The sequence below is a fragment of the Homo sapiens genome, chromosome 1, assembly GCF_000001405.40.
Source record: "Homo sapiens chromosome 1, GRCh38.p14 Primary Assembly".
Classification (NCBI taxonomy): domain Eukaryota; kingdom Metazoa; phylum Chordata; class Mammalia; order Primates; family Hominidae; genus Homo; species Homo sapiens.
In genome coordinates, this window is record NC_000001.11 from 220,076,446 (window position 1) to 220,095,848 (window position 19,403).

The following is a 19,403-nucleotide window of genomic DNA, read 5'->3' on the forward strand; positions in this document are numbered from 1 at the left end:
AGCCAAGATCATGCCACTGTACTCCAGCCTGGGTGACAGAGCAAGACTCCATCTCAAAAAAAAAAAAAAAAAAGGCAAAAAAATACAAAATTAGCTGGATGTGGTGGCACATGCCTGTAATCCCAGCTACCCAGGAGGCTGAGGCAGGAGAATCGCTTGAACCTGGGAGGCAGAGGCTGCGGTGAGCTGAGATAACGCCATTGCACTCCAGCCTGGGCAACAAGAGTGAAACTCCTTCTTAAAAAAAAAAATAAATTAATAATAATAATAATAATAATAATAATAATAGTAGTAGCCCTCTGAAAGCAGCAGTATTATTTCGTTGGTTATTACCAAGCATGTCTGTAGTCAACTAAAATCTCTTTTTCAAACAAATTTGAATCAGATTTATCTTACATAACTTGAACATGAATACAGCGCTTTATATTATTCCTGTTATATCCTGTTGGATTTGGTCCACTTTTCTCAGAGGTTGCAACTATTTTGAATACTTATTCTGTGATCAAATGCATGAACTAGCCCGCTCAGCTTTCTCTTATTGACAAATTTGATAAGCATGTTTTCTATATCATCTTCCACTTCAGCTAACACATTCCATATTTTTTAAAACTGTATGTTATTTAATGATTAAAGAGAACAGTACAATGTCAGGAGCAGAGTCCTGTGATCAGCCAACAGTGATCCTTTTCCAGGATGAAAATGACTCATGAATTTAAATTTGTGGATAATGTTATTCATCCAGTTATGAATGCACCTAATCATGGCTCAGGATGGGAGATGTTGTCTATATAACTAAAAATAACTTGAATATTTTCTTAAATAGAAAATGACAGACTATAAAAAATGTTTTGCTTAAATCAAGATACCCTCTATTTCCTCTATGAGCAGGCCCATAAATCTATCAAAAAAGGAAATGAGATTTATTTCATTTGTTCTTATGAATTTTTTTTTTTAATATTATTTATTTATTTTAGAGACAGGGTTTTACTCTGTTGCCCAGGCTGGAGTACAGTGGTGGGATCACAGGTCACTGCAGCCTCAAACTCCTGGGCTCAAGCAATTATCCCACTTCAGCTTCCCAAGCTAGGACTACAAGCATGTCCCACCATGTCAGATGGGGTCTTGCTATGTTGCCCAGGCTGATTTTTACATTAACTTTTTAAAAGCAATTACATTGAATGTTTTACATTCAACTTTTGAACGTGAGTTCAAAAAGTGAACTCACGTCAACTTTTTTCTAAGTTGTTTTTTACTCATATATCTCATTTTTTCTTATGGTAACAACCCTAGATAGATATATCACTCATAAGTGAGTGACTTAACTCACTCTATTTTAAATCGTTAAAGTGCTAATGATAAATCATATCCTATTAATGTTCTCACTTGGAAGAAATTACAATACACTTTTCCTTAAAGGCTATAATAAAGAAAGATTTAGGCGAAGTGTAATGGCTCATACCTGTACTCACACCCATAATCTCAGCACCTTGGGAGTCTAAGGTGGGTGGATCACTTGAAGCCAGGAGTTTGAGACCAGCCTGGGCAATATACTGAAACCCCATCTCCACAAAATAAAAACATTAGCTAGGTGTCGTGGCGCTTGCCTGTAGTCCTAACTACTCAGGAGGCTAAGCCAAGAGGGTCCTTTGAGCCCAGAGCTTGAGGCTGCAACAAGCTATCAGTAGGACTGTGCCACTGCACTCCAGCATTGGGCAACAATGTGAGTGAGACCTTGTCTCTTTAAAAAAAAAAAAAAAAAAAGATTATAATAAAGAATTTAAGGATTAAAAGTCAATATATGAAAACTTACGTGTAAAATTTGTAATGTGAAGTAATTACCAAATCCCAAGGAAGATTTATATATATATAATATATATAACATATAATATATAATTAATAATAATTTATAATAACAAATATAACTATTAATTATATAGAATTATTATAATTATATATAAATAATAATTTATAATAATAAATAATAATTATATATAATAATTATACTTATATATAAATAATAAATAATTTATAATAAATAATAATTTATAATAAATTTTATATAATATAATTATATATAATTATATTACATTATATATATTATAATTATATATAAATATAATATATATTATATATGTATATAATAACACACATATATATATATATTTTTTTGAGATGTAGTCTTGCTTTTGTTGCCCAGGCTGGAGTGCAATGGTGTGATCTCAGCTCACTGCAACCTCGCTCTCCCAGATTCAAGTAATTCTCCTGCCTCAGCCTCCTGAGTAGCTGTGAGTATAGGTGTGCACCACCATGCCCAGCTAATTTTTGTATTTTTAGTGGAGATGGGGTTTCATCATGTTGGTCAGACTGGTCTTGAACTCCTGACCTCGTGATCTGCCCGCCTTGGCCTCCCAAAGTGCTAGGATTAAGGCGTGAGCCACCGCACCCGGTCAGAAGATTGTGCTTTAAACTGGAACACAAACATGGTGGTATTTCTTTTAAGAATTGACTATCACTATAAACTTTCTGATAATCTATTTAAGTTTGTAATTACTATACTGGGAAAAACACGCTTGCTTTGAGTTTCTTTTCCATGAGGAAGAAAAGAATGTATCACTTTGATTATAACAAATATTTATGTAAATGCCAGATTTTACCGAACATGTTGAGTTCACTAAGGATTGCATGGCACTGCATGTAATAGATTACTCTAGGATTTGAAGCTCGGTTACAATGCCTTGGGGATAGATATGGTTCAGAAGACTCAGACATATAAATAAAGATCTTGGACGTAGAAAGTCTGGAGTCTTTTTTTTTTTTCTTTTTTTGAGATGGAGTCTCGCCCTGTTGCCCAGGCTGGAGTGCAATGGCGCAATCTCGGCTCACTGCAACCTCTGCCTCCCGGGTTCAAGCGATTCTCCTGCCTCAGCCTCCCAAGTAGCTGGGATTACAGGCGCTCGCCACCACGCCTGGCTAATTTTTTGTATCTTTAGTAGAGATGGGATTTCACCATGTTGGCCAGGCTGGTCTCAAACTCCTGACCTCATCATCCGCCTGCCTCGGTCTCCCAAAGTACTGGGATTACAGGCATGAGCCACCACGCCCGGCCTTGGAATCATTTTCAAAGCAGAGATGGAACCCTTTAGAACCAAGCGTCTTGCAGTCTCCCTAAGGGAGCCATCAATTATTTTAACTGATAAAGTCTGTCCACATTTTTATATCATTTAGCTAAACCTCAAGAACAAAAATCAAGTTGGTATGAAATGATATGAGAGTTTGAGTACCTTCTCCACAATACCCAGGTCTCCTTCAGCAATAACACGTCTGACTATCATTCCTGCCTTTTGAGCAATAGAATATGCGGAGGCTACCAACCGCATCAACACAGTGTTACTGGAAGCCATGGTACACTCTAAAAAGAGATCAAGAAAAATGTCTTGTTAGTTTCAAAGCCAACTACTGGTTTTATTTATTTAAATCCAACTCAACACATATTAATTGAGTGCTAACTTGGGATTGCTCCCATTAACTGAGTAAATTCTTTAATATATATTTACTAAAAGAGACTTCGAAAAAACTCGATTTGGGCATTAACTCTCTCAATAAATTCTGTATTTTTTATGTCTCTCTGCAGATGAGACATGTCAAAGCATAGGAGAAACTGGCCCAGGATGCTGAGCATGTGAAAAAGTTTGTGTATGAGGTCGTGGGTGATGTGTAAAGTATGTGGAAGGTGCTTTGTAGGCTAAAAATATGAGATGTAAGATTTGTGTTTGAGGAGCTAATATTTTGGTGAGTTGTAGATAAAATAAGGTAACCTAACGTCTATAACATAAAACTAGGCAGCGCCAAAAGAGGTATGAATAGTATAAGGGATGTAGGTGTGTAGGGTGTAATTAAAAAGGGAGGGTGTATTAGTCCATTTTCATACAGCTATAAAGAATGACCCAAGACTGGGTAATTTATTATTTCCAGTGGCAAGAACCGCAATTACTTCTGCACCAACCTAATATAAAGGAAAGAGGTTGAATTGACTCACAGTTCAGCATGGGTGGGGAGGCCTAAGGAAACTTAACAATCATGGCAGAAGACAAAGGGGGAAGCAAGACACCTTCTTCACAAGGTGGCAGGAAGAAGAGCCAAGCGAAGCGGGAGAGTCCCTTAAAAACCATTAGATCTCATGAGAACTTACTCACTATCACTGCCCCCATGATTCAGTTACCTCCACCTGGTCTCTCCCTTGACACATGGGGATTATGAGGATTACAATTTAAGATGAGATTTGGGTGGGGAAACAAAGCCTCACCACATCAGAGGGATTGCATATAACTACAATTATTTTCTGAAAATCAATGAATATTCTCTGCTATTATTTACCTCCATCTTCGTCAGTAGCCAGATAAAGAGAACAAGCAACCTAACAAATTATAATGAAGACCAGTCACTTGGAAAAGTAAGGAGTGTCAGAAGTCTCTAGCGCCAATGAAATAAACGGAAAAAACAGCCTTTAGAATCAAGTACGTTGCCTTTTCCTTTTTTTGAGACGGAGTCTCGCTCTGTCGCCCAGGATGGATTGCAGTGGCGCCATCTTGGCTCACTGCAACCTCTGCCTCAGCCTCCCAAGTAGCTGGGATTACAGGCGCCCACCACCATGCTCGGCTAATTTTTATTTTTAGTGGACACGGGGTTGCATCATCTTGGCCAGGCTGGTTTTGAACTCCTGACCTCGTGATCCCCCCCCTTGGCCTCCCAAGTGCTGGGATTACAGGCGTGAGCCACTGTATCTGGCCTGTACATTCCTTTGAACATATGAATTCAGGCCGGGCACGGTGACTAACGCCTGTAATCCCAGGATTTTGGGAGGCCGAGATGGGCAGCTCACCTGAGGTCAGGAGTTTGAGACCAGCCTGACCAACATGGTGAAACCTCGTCTCTACTAAAAATACAAAAATTAGCTGGGCATGGTGTTGCACACCTGTAATCCCAGCTACTCGGGAGGCTAAGGCAGGAGAATCGCTTGAACCTGGGACGCAGAGGCTGCAGTGAGCAGAGATCGCACCACTGCACTCTAGCCTGGGCGATAGAGCGAGAGTCCGTCTCAAAAAAAAAAAAGAAAATATGAATTCAAATCCCGAAATTTTCGTGACTGTCCTGGATGTACCACCCACATTCCCTTCAGAACTGAAGAGCTTATTTCCCCACTTGCTGAGACAGCTGTCAAAAGATGGCTTTCAGCTGCCATCTTTCTTTGGGAGTATATCTGCTGAGAAGGATCACTTCACCTGAAACGTCACAATAGGGAGATTTAAAGGCCATTTCCTACCCCAAGTGGGCTACCACCCCAGCACTGAAGGGCCATCTAGCTTCCAGAATACCCTATGGGGTCAACTGAGGCCTTAGCTGAGACTGCATCACAGCCCAAGATACCTTCTCCAACTTTCTTCCCTTCCTCCCCTTCCCTTCCACAAATGATTCCGAAAGCACTCCCTAATAAACCTCTTCCACTTTATCTCTGTCTTAGAGTTTTATGGGGAATTAACCTGTGACAAAAACTTCCCACCTCTAAATCAAATCAACATTATTTCATCGCAATAAGGGAACACATGATTGTTCCAAGGACAATATATATATATATATATATATAGAGAGAGAGAGAGAGAGAGAGAGAGAGAGAGAGAGTGTATATATATATAAAATATATATGATATATATGTATTTTATATATATTTTATATTTTTTATATATATATATATTTTGAGACAGAGTCTTGCTCTGTCGCCCAGGCTGGAGTGCAGTGGCGCAATCTCAGCTCACTGCAAACTCTGCCTCCTGGGTTCAAGCAATTCTCCTGCCTCAGCCTCGTGAGTAGCTGGGATTATAGGTGCCTGCTACCACACTCGGCTAATTTTTGTATTTTTAGTAGAGACGGGGTTTCACCATGTTGGCCAGGCTGGTTTCGAATTCCTGACCTCAAGTGATCCACCCACCTTGGCCTCCCAAAGTGCTGGGATTACATGCCTGAGCCACCACGCTCAGCCCTGGGACTATAGAGAACATTATAAACCTCCATTCAGCAATAGTCATTGTTCTACCATGACTTTCTGACTGAATATTTGATTTGATGTTTTAACCCCTTTAACATCTTTTTTCTTTTTTTTTTCTGAGACGTAGTCTCACTCTGTCACCCAGGCTGGAGTGCAGTGGCACAATCTTGGCTCGCTGCAACCTCTGTCTCCCAGGCTCAAGTGATTCTTGTGCTTCAGCCTCCCGAGTAGCTGAGATCACAGGCAACTGACACCACGCCCAGCTAATTTTTGTATTGTTAGTAGAGACGGGGATTCACCATGTTGGCCAGGCTGGTCTTGTACTCCTGACCTCAGAAGATCCACCTGCCCAGCCTCCTTTACATCTTGTTTCTATCATCCACACTCTATTGACAGGAATTATGAACCTAACTGGAACAATAAGTGAAGTGTTTGAAACTCTTCAAAAGGAAGATGGAATTGAAATTTATGGCCGGGCACAGTGGCTCACGCCTGTAATCCCAGCACTTTGGGAGGCCGAGGTGGGCAGATCACTAGGTCAGGAGTTCGAGACCAGCCAGACTAACATGGTGAAACCCCGTGTCTACTAAAAATACAAAAATTAGCCGGGCGTGGTGGCATGCACCTGTAATCCCAGCTACTCAGGAGGCTGAGGCAGGAGAATCACATGAACCCAGGAGGTGTAGATTGCAGTGGGCCGAGATCGTGCCAGTGCACTCCAGCCTGGGCGACAGAGCAAGACTCCATCTCAAAAAAAAAAAAAAGAAATTTATGTAAGGTAATGAATACCGTACTGTGACCAATAGCTGTCTGGAAATTAAGATGAAAATTAAACGGGTTTCTCTTTTTTTTTTTTGAGATGGAGTCTCGCTCTATCGCCCAGGCTGGCGCGATCTCGGCTCACTACAAACTCCGTCTCCCGGGTTCACACCATTATCCTGCTTCAGCCTCCCGAGTAGCTGGGACTACAGGCACCCGCCACTGCGCCCGGCTAATTTTTTGTAGTTTTAGTACAGATGGGGTTTCACCATGTTAGCCAGGATGGTCTCGATCTAACCTCATGATCCACTCGCCTCGGCCTCGCAAAGTGCTGGGATTACAGGTGTGAGCCACCGCGCCCGGCCAATAAAACGGGTTTCTAAGTGCAGCTGACACTTGAACAACACGGCCTCGAACTGCACCGGTCCACTTTGTGGATTTTTTCCAACCAAATGCGGATAGAAAAGGTATGTAAAATCTGTAGACAGGAAAGCCTGACTTTTTAAAATATATTTTTATTTTAGTTTCAAGAGAGTTTGTGATCTGTTAAAACTGAGTTTTCATCTATGAGTGTTTTGCAGGGCCAACTGTGGGACTTGAGTATGTGCAGATTTAAGTATTCTCAGGGGTTCCTGGAATCAACCTCCCTCATATACGGAGGGATAACTATATATAATGTGTTTGTTTTATGATATCATAATCAAGCTAGATTAATTTTCTTGGCATACTAGGAGTTACATGTGGAATAAACCAGTTACAATTACTACTAATTCAGGAGCACTTCAGATAGAAAACAGAGAAATAGGGCGGGGCGCAGTGGCTCACGCATGTAATCCCAGCACTATGGGAGGCCGAGGTGGGTGGATCACGAGGTCAGGAGATCGAGACCATCCTGGCTAACACAGTGAAACCCAGTCTCTACTAAAAATACAAAAAATTAGTCGGGCGTGGTGGTGGGCACCTGTAGTCCCAGCTACTCGGGAGGCTGAGGCAGGAGAATGGCATGAACCCGGGAGGTGGAGGTTGCAGTGAGCTGAGATTGCGGCCACTACACTCCACCCTGGGCAACATAGCGAGGCTCTGTCTCAAAAAAAAAAAGAAAAAGAAAAAGAAAAGGAAACAGAAATAATTTAGTAAACACTTTGTTGGTCTTATTTCTATTCCTTTATATCCATATCCAGACATATATCTGATTTATTATGCACTGGAAATGTGGTCTTTGGGCAACTGATTTGTTCTACCCAGCTGTCTTGACCATATTTTAATTATGTGTTCGTATGCTCCTTCAATTCCCATGTTATATAAGAATTCTTTTGTAATAGGAAGATCACCTTCCCTCACTGTATGGTGTTGTTATAACTTTTCATAGATATCATTTACCTTTGAACCAGTTAAGCAACCATTTGACCCTTGTCAGGCTTCATAAATGACTCAACTACTTCCCCTTGTATTTGCCAAGTCCATGGTGTTTTCTTCCATGGAAAAACTTTCAGGCATTGTCTGTCTACTAATTTCCTCACAAAATGATATTATATTTATTAACCACCAGTTAAAGCTAACATCAGCTTATAAAACATAAGAATGGGAAAAATAAGAAATAGAAGACAATAAAAATGGGAAAAATAGTGTTGATGTAAAGCACACAATGATTTATAAAGAGATTCCACAAATCACTTTTAATTGGCAGATAGGGAAATATTTTTACCATTCTTCTTTGAAGTACTTCTCTGGTCCAAACTGAATTAGTAATGAAATAGTACTATGCCCTAGCCTTAATCGTTTTCTTAACTATTTTTTAAACAGATGAATACAATGTTGGTTCTTGGTTAAAAAAAAAAAAAGAAAAAATACATAGTCATATTATCAAAACAAAAAATCTATACAAGAGGTCCCTTTTAGCCTTTTTCATTATGCTCCCTCCTATACTACAGTGAGATTTACCTTTTGATGATACAGGTAGATTAAGAGCAAGGCCCAAACTAGCTACAGGCAAGTTAACTTTCTTAAAGCAGTTCAAATAACACCATTGTACTTCTTTCTCTACCAGTTTTACATCTTCTGGGCCTTAAAACACTCTTGTGAAGGTGTCTTTCTGAAAGCCTAATCTAAAACAGCACAGTGCTTAAGGGCACAGGCTCTGCAGCCCACTACCTGTGTTCAAATCCTGGCTCAGCTGTGGACCTTGAGAAAACCACTTAAATTCTCTGTGCCCCAATCTGTAAAATGGAGACAATAGTACTCATAGTATAGGGCTGCTGTAATTATTAAATGAGTAACACGTGTAAAGAAAGCGCTTTACCTGGCACAAGGTAAACACCAAATAATACTGGCTAACCATTATTATGATTGTCCTTATTTCGGTTATTTTGCAGGGACATTAGGGCAGTGTTAAGGGCAAAAAGTTCCTGTAGTTTCTCCAACAGTATTCTGACCTTGAGAATACAAAATGATAATCAACATGACCCTCAATCAGAGTATAGTTCAGGCTTTTCTTCATAACATTCTGAGCTTTAGGCTTGGAGAGTAGACAAGAAAAAAAGCTGTATAACACTTAAGGCCATCAACCTAATACCTATCCTTGAGAAGTCTTTACAACTGCCAAAGGGCTAGTTCAGAAGGATGGAAAAAAACAACAGGAATCAAACATTAGTTTCTTCTCATATAACGATTGTGACCATATGAGGATTAGGATCTAAAAATGATGAGTTCCAAGTCAAAATACTAAAATTATTTATATTTTGGAACTTGGCCTGATGATAATGTTCAAGGTCATCTGAAAAAATTAAAATGTAAGCATAATGGAGCAAATTCTGGAAAAAGAACTATGAACAGAGGTACTCCCCTTATCAATTATCAAAATATGATAAAATATGATTTAATCAACATATGATATAAAAGTTTGGCTAGTGAGACAAACTAAGGAAATAAATTGCAGAAATAGAACCGAACACACTAAAGGTAGTGTTTCAAATCATGGGGGAAATTCAATTTTGCATAAATGGCAGGGCAGTCGCTAAACTTTTAAATACTTTTTCTTTTTTTTGATATGTAGTCTCGCTCTGTCGCCCAGGCTAAAGTGCGGTGGCCTGATATCGGCTCACTGCAACTTCCGCCCCCTAGAGTTCAAGCGATTCTCCTGCCTCATATGGCTGAGTAGCTGGAACTACAGGCACGCATCACCACGCCTGGCTAATTTTTTTATATTTTTAGTAGAGATGGGGTTTCACCACATTGGCCAGGCTGGTCTCGAACACCTGACCTCAAGTGATCCACCCTCCTCGGCCTCCCAAGGTGCTGGGATTACAGGCATGAGCCACCATGCCTGGTCTGAGTTGCTAAAGTTTTTCTGAGACAGAGTCTCACTCTGTTGTCCAGGCTGGAGTGCAGTGGCGAGATCACGGCTCACTGCAACCTCCGCCTCCCGGGTTCAGCCGATTCTCCTGCCTCAGCCTCTTGAGTAGCTGGGACTACAGGCACAAGCCACCATGCCAGGCTAATTTTTGTACTGTTAATAGAGATGGGGTTTCACCATGTTGGCCAGGCTAGTCTTGAACTCCTGACCTTGTGATCCGCCTGCCTCCCAAAGTGCTGAGATTACAGGTGTGAGCCACTCCGCCCGGCCTGAGTTGCTAAACTTAAAAAAAAAAAAAAATGAGCCGGGCATATTGGCGGGCGCCTGTAACCCCAACTTCTTGGGAGGCTGAGGCAGGAGAATTGCTCGAACTTGGGAGGCGGAGGTTGCAGTGAGCCGAGATGGTGCCACTGCACTCCAGCCTGGGCGACAGAGCAAGACTCCGTCTCAAAAAAAAAAAAAAAAAAAGTTGAGTCCTTTTTGCATTCTTTTGATATTTTGATATAAATACATTTTGATATAAATACATTTCAATGCATGGTTTATAAAAGTAAAAAAAGAAACCATAAAAGCATGGAAATAAAAATTATAAACTTCATAAGCTTGGTAAATGCCCTTTAAGCATAAAACCAAGAATCCATAAAATATTCTATTGATAAATTTGACTCTATAAAACTAAGAGTTGCTGGGCGCGGTGGCCTGTAATCCCAGCACTTCGGGAGGCCAAGTCGGGCGGATGACGAGGTCAGGAGTTCAAGACCAGCCTGACCAACTTGGTGAAACCCTGTCTCTACTAAAAATACAAAAATTAGCCGGGCTTGGTGGCACGCGCCTGTAATCCCAGCTACTCAGGAGGCTGAGGCAGGAGAATTGCTTGAACCTGGGAGGTAGAAGTTGCAGTGAGCTGAGATCATTTGCACCATTGCACTCCAGCCTGGGTGACAGAGCGAGATTCCGTCTCAAAATCAATCAATCAATAAATAAAAATAAAATTAAAACTTCTACATGGCCAAAATACCATAAACTAAATAAACAGGTACTTGACAAAATGAGAAAAAAATATTGTATCACATACCAGACAAATGACTTAATTTGTAAAAGATCAGTATATAAAAGCTGAATAATCCAATAGAAAAATGAGCAAATAAACAAGAACGGGCAACACCTACAAAGAGAAAAGCACTGGCCATTAAATACATAAATACTCAGCTTCACTAATTATGAAAGAAATGCAAACTAAAACAATGAGAAATGATTATTTTATTTTTAATTAATTAATTAATTTATTTATTTTTTGAGACAGAGTTTTTGCTCTTGTTGCCCAGGCTGGAGTGCAATGGCGAGATCTTGGCTCACCGCAACCTCTGCCTCCCGGGTTTAAGCGATTCTCCTGCCTCAGCCTCCCGAGTAGCTGGGATTACAGGCAAGCATCTCCACACCTGGCTAATTTTGTATTTTTAGTAGAGACAGGGTTTCTCCATGTTGGTCAGGCTGGTCTCGAACTTCCGACCTCATGGCCTGCCTAAGCCTCCCAAAGTGCTAGGATTACAGGCGTGAGCCACCGCGCCGGGCCATGATTGTTTATTTTTAAGATTGGCATAGAAAAGAAAATTTGGCAGGGCACGGTGGCTCACACCTGTAATCCCAGCACTTTGGGAGGCCAAGGCAGGTGAATCACCTGAAGTTAGGAGTTCAAGACTAGCCTGGCCAACATGGTGAAACCCCATCTCTACTAAAAATACAAAAATTAACCAGGCATAGTAATACAAAAATTACTCAGGAGGCTGAGGCAGGAAAATTGCTTGAACATAGGAGGCAGAGGTTGTGGTGAGCCGAGATCGCGCCACTGCAGTCCAGCCTGGGCGACAGAGACTCCGACTCAAAAAAAAAAAAAAAAAAAAAAATTGTCGCTGAATGCAGTGGCTCACACCCGTAATCCTAGAACTTTTTGGGAGGCCAAGGCTGGTGTATTGCTTGAGCTCAGGAGTTCGAGACCAGCCTGGGCAACATGGCAAAACCTCGTCTCTACAAAAAAATGCAAAAATTAGATGGTGTGGTGGCACATGCCTGTAGTCCCAGCTGCTCGGGAGGCTGAGGTGGGAGAATCACCAGACCCTGGGAGGTCAAGGTTGCAGTGAGACATAATGGCACCACTGTACTCCAGCCTGGGGGACAGAGCTAGAACCTGTCTTAAAAAAAAAAAAAAAAGAAAGAAAGAAAGGCTGGGCGCGGTGGCTCACGCCTGTAATCCCAGCACTTTGGGAGGCCGAGACGGGCAGATCACGAGGTCAGGAGATCGAAACCATCCTGACTAACACGGTGAAACCCCGTCTCTACTAAAAATACAAAAAAAATTAGCCAGGCTTGGTGGTGGGCGCCTGTAGTCCCAGCTACTCGGGAGGCTGAGGCAGGAGAATGGCGTGAACCTGGGAGGTGGAGCTTGCAGTGAGCCGAGATTGCACCACTGCACTCAAGCCTGGGCGACAGAGCGAGACTCCGTCTCGAAAAAAAAAAAAAAAAAAAAAAAAGAAGGAGGAGGAAGGAGGAGGAAGAAGAAGAAGAAAAAAGAAGAAAGAAGAAGAGTTTGTCCTTTGTCCAGTTTGCAAGGGTGTGAGGGAACATGTTCCTGAGCATTGTTGGCAAAGCGGTGAACCCTCTTAGGAGAGTTTTGAGAACCTTAATAAAAGTATAAAGTACGTATCTTTTGAACCAACAATTATATTTACAGAGAAATCCAAATAAATCACGCAAACCTATAAATATGTAGAAATGGCAGTTGGAAGAATATTTGCTGTTTAAAGAAATTTAATTTTAGGTACCAAGCAGTTTCTAAATTTGGGTGCATCAACAAACTCAATGTCTAGGTTTGTCTTGTTTCTACAGTATATGGCTATAAAAACCTTCCGGATCACGAAAATAAAAGCACAGATAAACAATTAAAATATCGACACTCAAGAGTCCAAGTCGGAAGTTAGAATATCTGGAGAAGCAATCTGATTCACATAAACCTTTTTCGTTTTATTTTTTTAACATAAATCCTATCTACCTGGCTCTTGCCCTGACCGGCCGGAGAGAAACGGTGACAAACCTGGAACAACGTTGGACCAAAGACACTTCAGGAGGAGCAAAAGCGCGTTATCGTAGACCCAGGTCCCTCGTTGTGTCCAGTACCGAGCTTTGGCACTGTCAATAAGTCTTTTGAGAAGGATGGCATCCCTACCTCAGCTACTGAGCATGCGGGAAACTGCGCGCAAGCGCACAACAGCGATTTCACACTGCCTCTTTAGACTCCTGATCCGCGGGAAAATTCCACTTGTCCGTGTTTTCTCCAAGCTCTCCGTAGGTGCAAGTCACCTGTTGCATTAAATAAAAGCGAAAGATGTGTCAACTTTCAAAGATTGGCTAAAAAAAGAAAAAGAAGAAGGAAAGAACACATTAAGCCAGCAACAGTGTGTTGAAACAAAAAAAAGATTGGTTTTGGTTTCAGCTGTCTTCCAGCCCACTTCGTAGAGTTCACTGTTTTAAAATGTTCTTTGTATTAGTGATACCACTCTGCGGCTATTTAACTTCGAACCCCTAGCGGTCCGTGGACAGGCTTCAGCAGGTCCACCACACACACCTCCACCTCCCACTCCCCACGCAATAACACAGCAACTTTATGCAGAATTGTGTCAAAGATGCTTGCTTACCTTTTTTTTTTTTTTTTTTTTTTTTTTTTTAAGCGATAGATAGCTTGCTCTGTCGCCCAGAGTCGATTACGGCTCACTGCTGCCTTCCCACTTCTAGGCTCAAGCCATCCTCCCGCCTCAGCCTTCCGTGTAGCTGGGACTACTGGTGGAGGTGCGCGCCACCACACCCAGCTAATTAAAATATTTTTTGTGTACAGATGGGATCTTTTACTGGGGGGCGTGGTTGGGGAAGGGGGCAGTGTCTCATCCTGTCGCCCAGGCTGGAGTGCAGTGGCGCAGTCTAGGTTCACTACAACCTCCTCCTCCTGGGTTCAAGCGATCCTTCCTCCTTAGCCTCCCAAGTAGCTAGGACTACAGGCGCGCCACCACGCCGGGCTAATTTTGTTTGTTTTTTAAGTAGAGACGGGGTTTCATCATATTGGCCAGGCTGGTCTTGAACTCCTGACCCCAGGTGATCTGCTCACCTCGGCCTCCCAAAGTGCTGGGATTACAGGTGTGAGCCACTGCGCCCAGCTTAAAAAGGCTTTTACGTCTTCATTTGATTTTCACAATAACTCTGTGAGTTAAGTAGACCCTTTTTGGGAAGTGGAAAAATATACATAACTTAAATTATATTACTTTAACCATATATATATATATATATATATATATATATATATATATACACACACACACACACACACATATATACATATATATATTTTTTGAGACGGCGTCTTACTCTGTCGCCCAGGCTGGAGTGCAATGGCTTGATCTCGGCTCACTGCAACCTCTGCCTCCCAGGGTTCAAGCTATTCTCCTGCTTCAGCCTCCTGAGTAACTGGGACTACAGGCGCACACCACCCAGCCCAGCTAGTTTTTGCATTTTTTTTTTTTTTAGTAAAGACGGGGTTTCACCATGTTGGCCAGGCTGGTCTCGAACTCCTGACCTCATGATCCGCCCGCCTCGGCCTCCCAAAGTGCTGAGATTACAGGCATGAGCCACTGCACCTGGCCATACTTTGGTTTTTATAATTAAATTGTATAATTACATGACAAGTACAAATGGCTTAAATAAAGACAAACATAATGCAAGGTAAGCTCAACAAGTGAGAATAGAAATCTGCAGTCATCCTAAAGAGTAGCCATCTCCCAAGTGTTCATTGTATCCTCTCATAGGTTTTACGAGAAAACGGCATAGTTGAATTCAGCAAGTTATGTAGAGGTTGGTTAGGAGAGTTTCTATGTAAATATATCTTTGTGCTCCTGGAAGACTATAGCTGTGATAGATCCCAGATGTGAAACCGTGGGTCAAAGATGAAGTGCATTTTATTTTATTTTTTGGAGATGGAGTCTCGCTCTGTCGCCCAGGCTGGTGTGCAGTGGCCTGATTTCTCACTGCAACCTGTGCCTCCTGAGTTCAAGCGATTCTTCTGCCTCAGCCTCCAGAGTAGCTGGGATTACAGGCGCCTGCCACCACTCCCGGCTAATTTTTTGTATTTTTAGTAGAGACGGGATTTCACCATGTTGGCCAGGTTGGCCAGGCTGGTCTCGAACTCCTGAACTCAGGTGATCCACTTGCCTCAGCCTCCCAAAGTGCTGTGGTTACAGGCGTGAGCCACCGCGCCCAGCTGAAGCGCATTTTAAATGGTGATGGATATTGCTAAATTGCCATTCGGAAATCTCCTGCCTCAGCTTCCCAAGTAGCTGGGACTACAAGCATGCGCCATCACACCCGGCTAATTTTGTATTTTTAGTAGAGATGGGGTTTCTCCATGTTGGTCAGGCTGGTCTTGAACTCCCGACCTCTGGTGATCCACCCACCTTGGCCTCCCGAAGTGCTGGGATTATAGGCATGAGCCACCGCACCTGGCCGACAGTACCTATTTAACACTACCATCAGCAGTCCACTTTCACACATTCTCCCAAGCCCTGTTATCAAACTTCTTTATTTTTGCTTTAATCTGCTGGAAAGAAAATGGTATTTTAACTGTCTATTCCCATGACTCCTAAAGTTGAGGATCTTTTTATGTTTATTAGCTGTTTCCACTTCTGTGTCTCTGAGTTGACTGTTCATTTCTTTTGCTTTATTATTATTATTTTGAGACAGGCTCTCACTGTGTTGCCCAGGCAGGAGTGTAGTGGTGTAATCATGGCCCACTTGCAGCCTTGACTTCCTGGGCTAAAGCGATCCTCCCACCACAGCCTCCAAAGCAGCTGGGACCACAAGCACATGCCACTACATCCAGCTAATTTTAAAAATTATTTCAGAGATAGGGGTCTCCCTATGTTGCCCAGGGTTGTCTCAAACTCCTGGGCTCAAGTGATATTTCCACTTCAGCCTCCTAAGGTGCTGGGATTATAGGCATGAGCTACTGTGTCCAGCTTCTTTTATCCTTTTTTTTTTTTAAATTGGGTTGTTTACATTTGTTTTTTTGATCTGTAGCAGCTCTTTATGCATTTTGTGTATTATTATTTTTTAATGTGTAGCAAATGTTTTCTTCCACAGTATAGTGTAGGAAAGACAACATAACATGGTGGCTATGCACACACACTGGAATCTAACTGCCTGGGTTTGAATTCCAGCTGTGCTACTTAGTTGTATCATCTTGAGCAAGTTACATAATTCTATGTGCCTCAGTTTCCTTAGCTGTGAAATGGAAATACTCATAGTTCCTATCTCACAGGTTTTTTTGGTATGCTGTGTCTTCACCTCATCTGGTTTTGAAGATTAAGTGAATTAATTCAGGTACAGAGCTGGAGTCATTGATTGGTGAAAGGCTGACATTGAGTGCTTTCTGTTTGTCACTTGGTTTCTCACTTTCCGGTATCTTTTTTTGGTATATATATGTTTTCATACTTGTAGAAAATCTGTCCTTCTTATTTATGTGAACCAAATGTTCTGGATGTTGTGTTTTATGATTAGGAAGGCTATTCCCAAGTTGTATACTCAACAATGAAATGGTAACAATTGTGAACTATTATGAACTGGACAACCAAATAGAGCAGAATCTGTCAGAAACAGGAGCAGAAGTTGCTATATATACCATACTATTCTATGAGTGGGATATAACAGGGATTTCAGAGAATCTTAAAAAAAGGTTAGATTGTTTTATAATATTGTTAAAATCTATGGGAAGTCATTGATTTGGACTGAGCTCCTGCACTAGGCTGTTTACTTGTAAGGTCTGCGTTCCAGGAAATCAGGAGAGATGATAGCCAAATCCATTAAGCCAAATGGCGTCTGCTTTTCGTTCCCTGTTTCTGCCTTCTTCAACCTTTTCTGCCTATAAACCTCACCCTGCCCCCACAGCTCATCAGAGATCCTTTCTATTTTGTAGAAAGGTTTAGGAATATTTAATAATAGCCAATTAGATCTTTAAAACTCGATTTGCTGAAATTTTATTATTTTACAATATTTTCACTGAACTTGTGCTGCCCACAGTCGTAGTCATTACCCAAGTGTGCCTGTTGAGGCCTTGCCATGAGTTTAGCCCAGATTGAGATGTGCAGTATGTGCAAAGTACATGTCAAATTTCAAAGGCTTCGTATGAAGAGAATATGTAAAATATCTTACTTTTTATTGGCTACATGTTAAAGTGATACAATCATAGCTATGTTGTGTTAAAGTAAAAAAAAAAAAATATATATATATATATATTTAAAAAGCAGGGCACAGCGATTGGACTATGAGCCCCACCTTTCCCCGCCCCCGTGAATCTGAGCCCGCCCCCCGGCGGCTGCAGGGAGGACCCGGAGGTGGCTCAGCCTCCGCGGACTCCGGGAAGGCGGTGCCCACCGCCCCGCCCCCACTACCCGCCGCTCCCTCCCCGCCCCTTCCGCTCCCGGAGCGCGTGCGCCCTCTTACTCGGCTCCCCTTGGTTTCCTGGGGTCCTGCCCCTTCAAGCTGGGGCGGGAGCGGAGGACCCCGCTCTCAGGGGTTGCCGGACCATGCGTTGGGGGCTGCGCCCTCGCGGGCCGGGCGCGGCCGCCCTGGCCACTGCCCGAAGTTTGTGGGGGACGCCCCGCCTTCCCTGCAGCCCGGGATGGCAAGGGGCGACGAAGAGGCTTCTGGTGCGGTCGGTCTCCGGGGCCAGTAACCACCAGCCGAACTCGAATAGTGGCAGATACCGGGACACGGTGCTGCTGCCGCAGACGAGCTTCCCCATGAAGCTGCTGGGCCGCCAGCAGCCGGACACGGAGCTGGAGATCCAGCAGGTACGGGCCCCGCCTCGGCGCGGGGCCTCCAGAGAGGCCCGATCCGGCCGCGGGCACCGGGCGCTCGCAGGCGCCACACCTCTAGGCTCCACGCCGGTGCGGGTGGGCGGGGGTGTGACCAGATTGGTGGAATTCGTCTGCTTCGCACAGATTTTGTGGGCTGAAAACCTAAGTGAAGAAATCTCTAGATGAGCCCCTCCTTTGTACCAGGTTCTGGAGCGGGACATTAAGGGGTCACTAGCGATGCCCAGTTACCAGCATGTATCGCACGTATGTCCCATGTCTACCGTAGGCAAAACAGATAGACTTTGGGCACTTTTCCAATGCCTTGTAAAAAGTAAATTCACATGTCCACATGTAAATAAAAACCCAGGCTGGGCGCAGTGGCTCACGCCTGTAATCCCAGAACTTTGAAAGGCCAAGGCGGGAGAATCGCTTGAGCCAAGAGTTCGAGACCATATTGGCTAGTCACCCCCACCCCCCCGTCCTTAAAAAAAACCTTAAAAACCTCAATTATGATGAATGAAGGGGAAGTTGAAGCCCACTTCTTGGATCTTTTAGATCCCTAGTTGGAATTATGACTCGTTTGAAGTCGCCCAGGCTGGAGTGCAATGGCGCGATCTCAGCTCACTACAACTTCCGCCTCCCAGGCTCAGGCAATTCTCCTGCCTTAGCCTCCCCAGTTGCTGGGATTACAGGTGCGCACCACCACGCCCGGCTAATTTTTATATTTTTAGTAGAGATGGAGTTTCACCATGTTGGCCAGGGTGGTCTCTAACTCCTGACCTCAAGTGATCTTCCCGCCTCGGCCTCCCAAAGTGCTGGGATTACAGGCCTGAGCCACTACGCCCAGCCTAGTCTGAACTTTCTAAGAGCAGAGATTCCTCTTTAGCTTCTGTAATTCTAGTCTTTAAAAATCCCTGATATTCTTGGAATATTGGTTAAGTAAATATACTTAGCCTAAATATTCTGACAGTTATAAGAGTTCATCTAATTTTTTAAAGGTTTTTTAGTCAATACCTTCTGTATGCCAGAAAGAGTGACAGTTTCAAATGTTTCCTCGTTTAATCTTCACACCAGCCCTGTAAGATGGATATTAACACTTTTTTTTTTCAGATAAGAAAGCAGGCCCGTAAGTGCACAGTAACCTGGACAAAATCATACAGCAAGTGAGGGAAGGGAAGTGACTTAGACTGCCATGCATGTTGTTCCCAGATTTGGGGAATGGCAAGCATTGCCGCCAAAGAATAGCAAGAATATGTGTGTCGGGAATCTGCAGGTCCTTCAACATGTCGGGGGTGAGGAGTGAAGCATGGGGAGTGATGAAAGAATGCCCGAGAACTTAGTGGCACTAAACCTTTGTAG

General features: G+C 42.8%; 2 protein-coding genes across 19 annotated transcripts in view, besides 5 other annotated features; one reads left to right on the forward strand and one right to left on the reverse strand.

Annotated features, from left to right (window-relative positions):
* BPNT1 (3'(2'), 5'-bisphosphate nucleotidase 1) overlaps positions 1-13,343 on the reverse strand; it is a 32,307-nt gene extending 18,964 nt beyond the window's left edge. For 9 of the 18 annotated variants that reach the window (XM_047429573.1, NM_001286150.2, XM_006711114.4 and 6 more), the window contains exons 1-2: positions 13,241-13,343; positions 3,282-3,409 (exon numbers count right to left, since the gene is read on the reverse strand). In XM_047429573.1, the coding sequence (XP_047285529.1) occupies positions 3,282-3,401 (120 nt within the window). In that variant the 5' untranslated portion in view covers positions 3,402-3,409; positions 13,241-13,343. Of the gene's footprint in view, positions 1-3,281; positions 3,410-13,198 lie in introns of all 18 variants that reach the window. The other 9 variants (XM_017000043.2, XM_047429467.1, XM_005273005.5 and 6 more) reach the window with 3 other exon arrangements.
* Positions 9,992-10,111: an enhancer, noted in NCBI's record as "active region_2553". NCBI's record gives its function as "activates an Ori minimal core promoter by ATAC-STARR-seq in GM12878 lymphoblastoid cells {active_cell/tissue: GM12878}" and the evidence as "EXISTENCE:reporter gene assay evidence [ECO:0000049][PMID:35858748]".
* Positions 13,454-13,643: an enhancer, noted in NCBI's record as "active region_2554". NCBI's record gives its function as "activates an Ori minimal core promoter by ATAC-STARR-seq in GM12878 lymphoblastoid cells {active_cell/tissue: GM12878}" and the evidence as "EXISTENCE:reporter gene assay evidence [ECO:0000049][PMID:35858748]".
* Positions 17,477-17,556: a silencer, noted in NCBI's record as "silent region_1822". NCBI's record gives its function as "represses an Ori minimal core promoter by ATAC-STARR-seq in GM12878 lymphoblastoid cells {active_cell/tissue: GM12878}" and the evidence as "EXISTENCE:reporter gene assay evidence [ECO:0000049][PMID:35858748]".
* Positions 17,577-17,906: a silencer, noted in NCBI's record as "silent region_1823". NCBI's record gives its function as "represses an Ori minimal core promoter by ATAC-STARR-seq in GM12878 lymphoblastoid cells {active_cell/tissue: GM12878}" and the evidence as "EXISTENCE:reporter gene assay evidence [ECO:0000049][PMID:35858748]".
* Positions 17,687-19,403, forward strand: part of IARS2 (isoleucyl-tRNA synthetase 2, mitochondrial) — a 53,910-nt gene continuing 52,193 nt past the window's right edge. The window contains exon 1 of the mRNA NM_018060.4: positions 17,687-18,038. Coding sequence (NP_060530.3) covers positions 17,772-18,038 — 267 coding nt within the window. The 5' untranslated portion in view covers positions 17,687-17,771. The remainder of the gene's footprint in view (positions 18,039-19,403) is intronic.
* Positions 17,916-18,415: an enhancer, noted in NCBI's record as "H3K27ac hESC enhancer chr1:220267703-220268202 (GRCh37/hg19 assembly coordinates)". NCBI's record gives its function as "activates a minimal SCP1, AML or CMV promoter by ChIP-STARR-seq in naive H9 embryonic stem cells {active_cell/tissue: H9 hESC(naive)}" and the evidence as "EXISTENCE:reporter gene assay evidence [ECO:0000049][PMID:30033119]".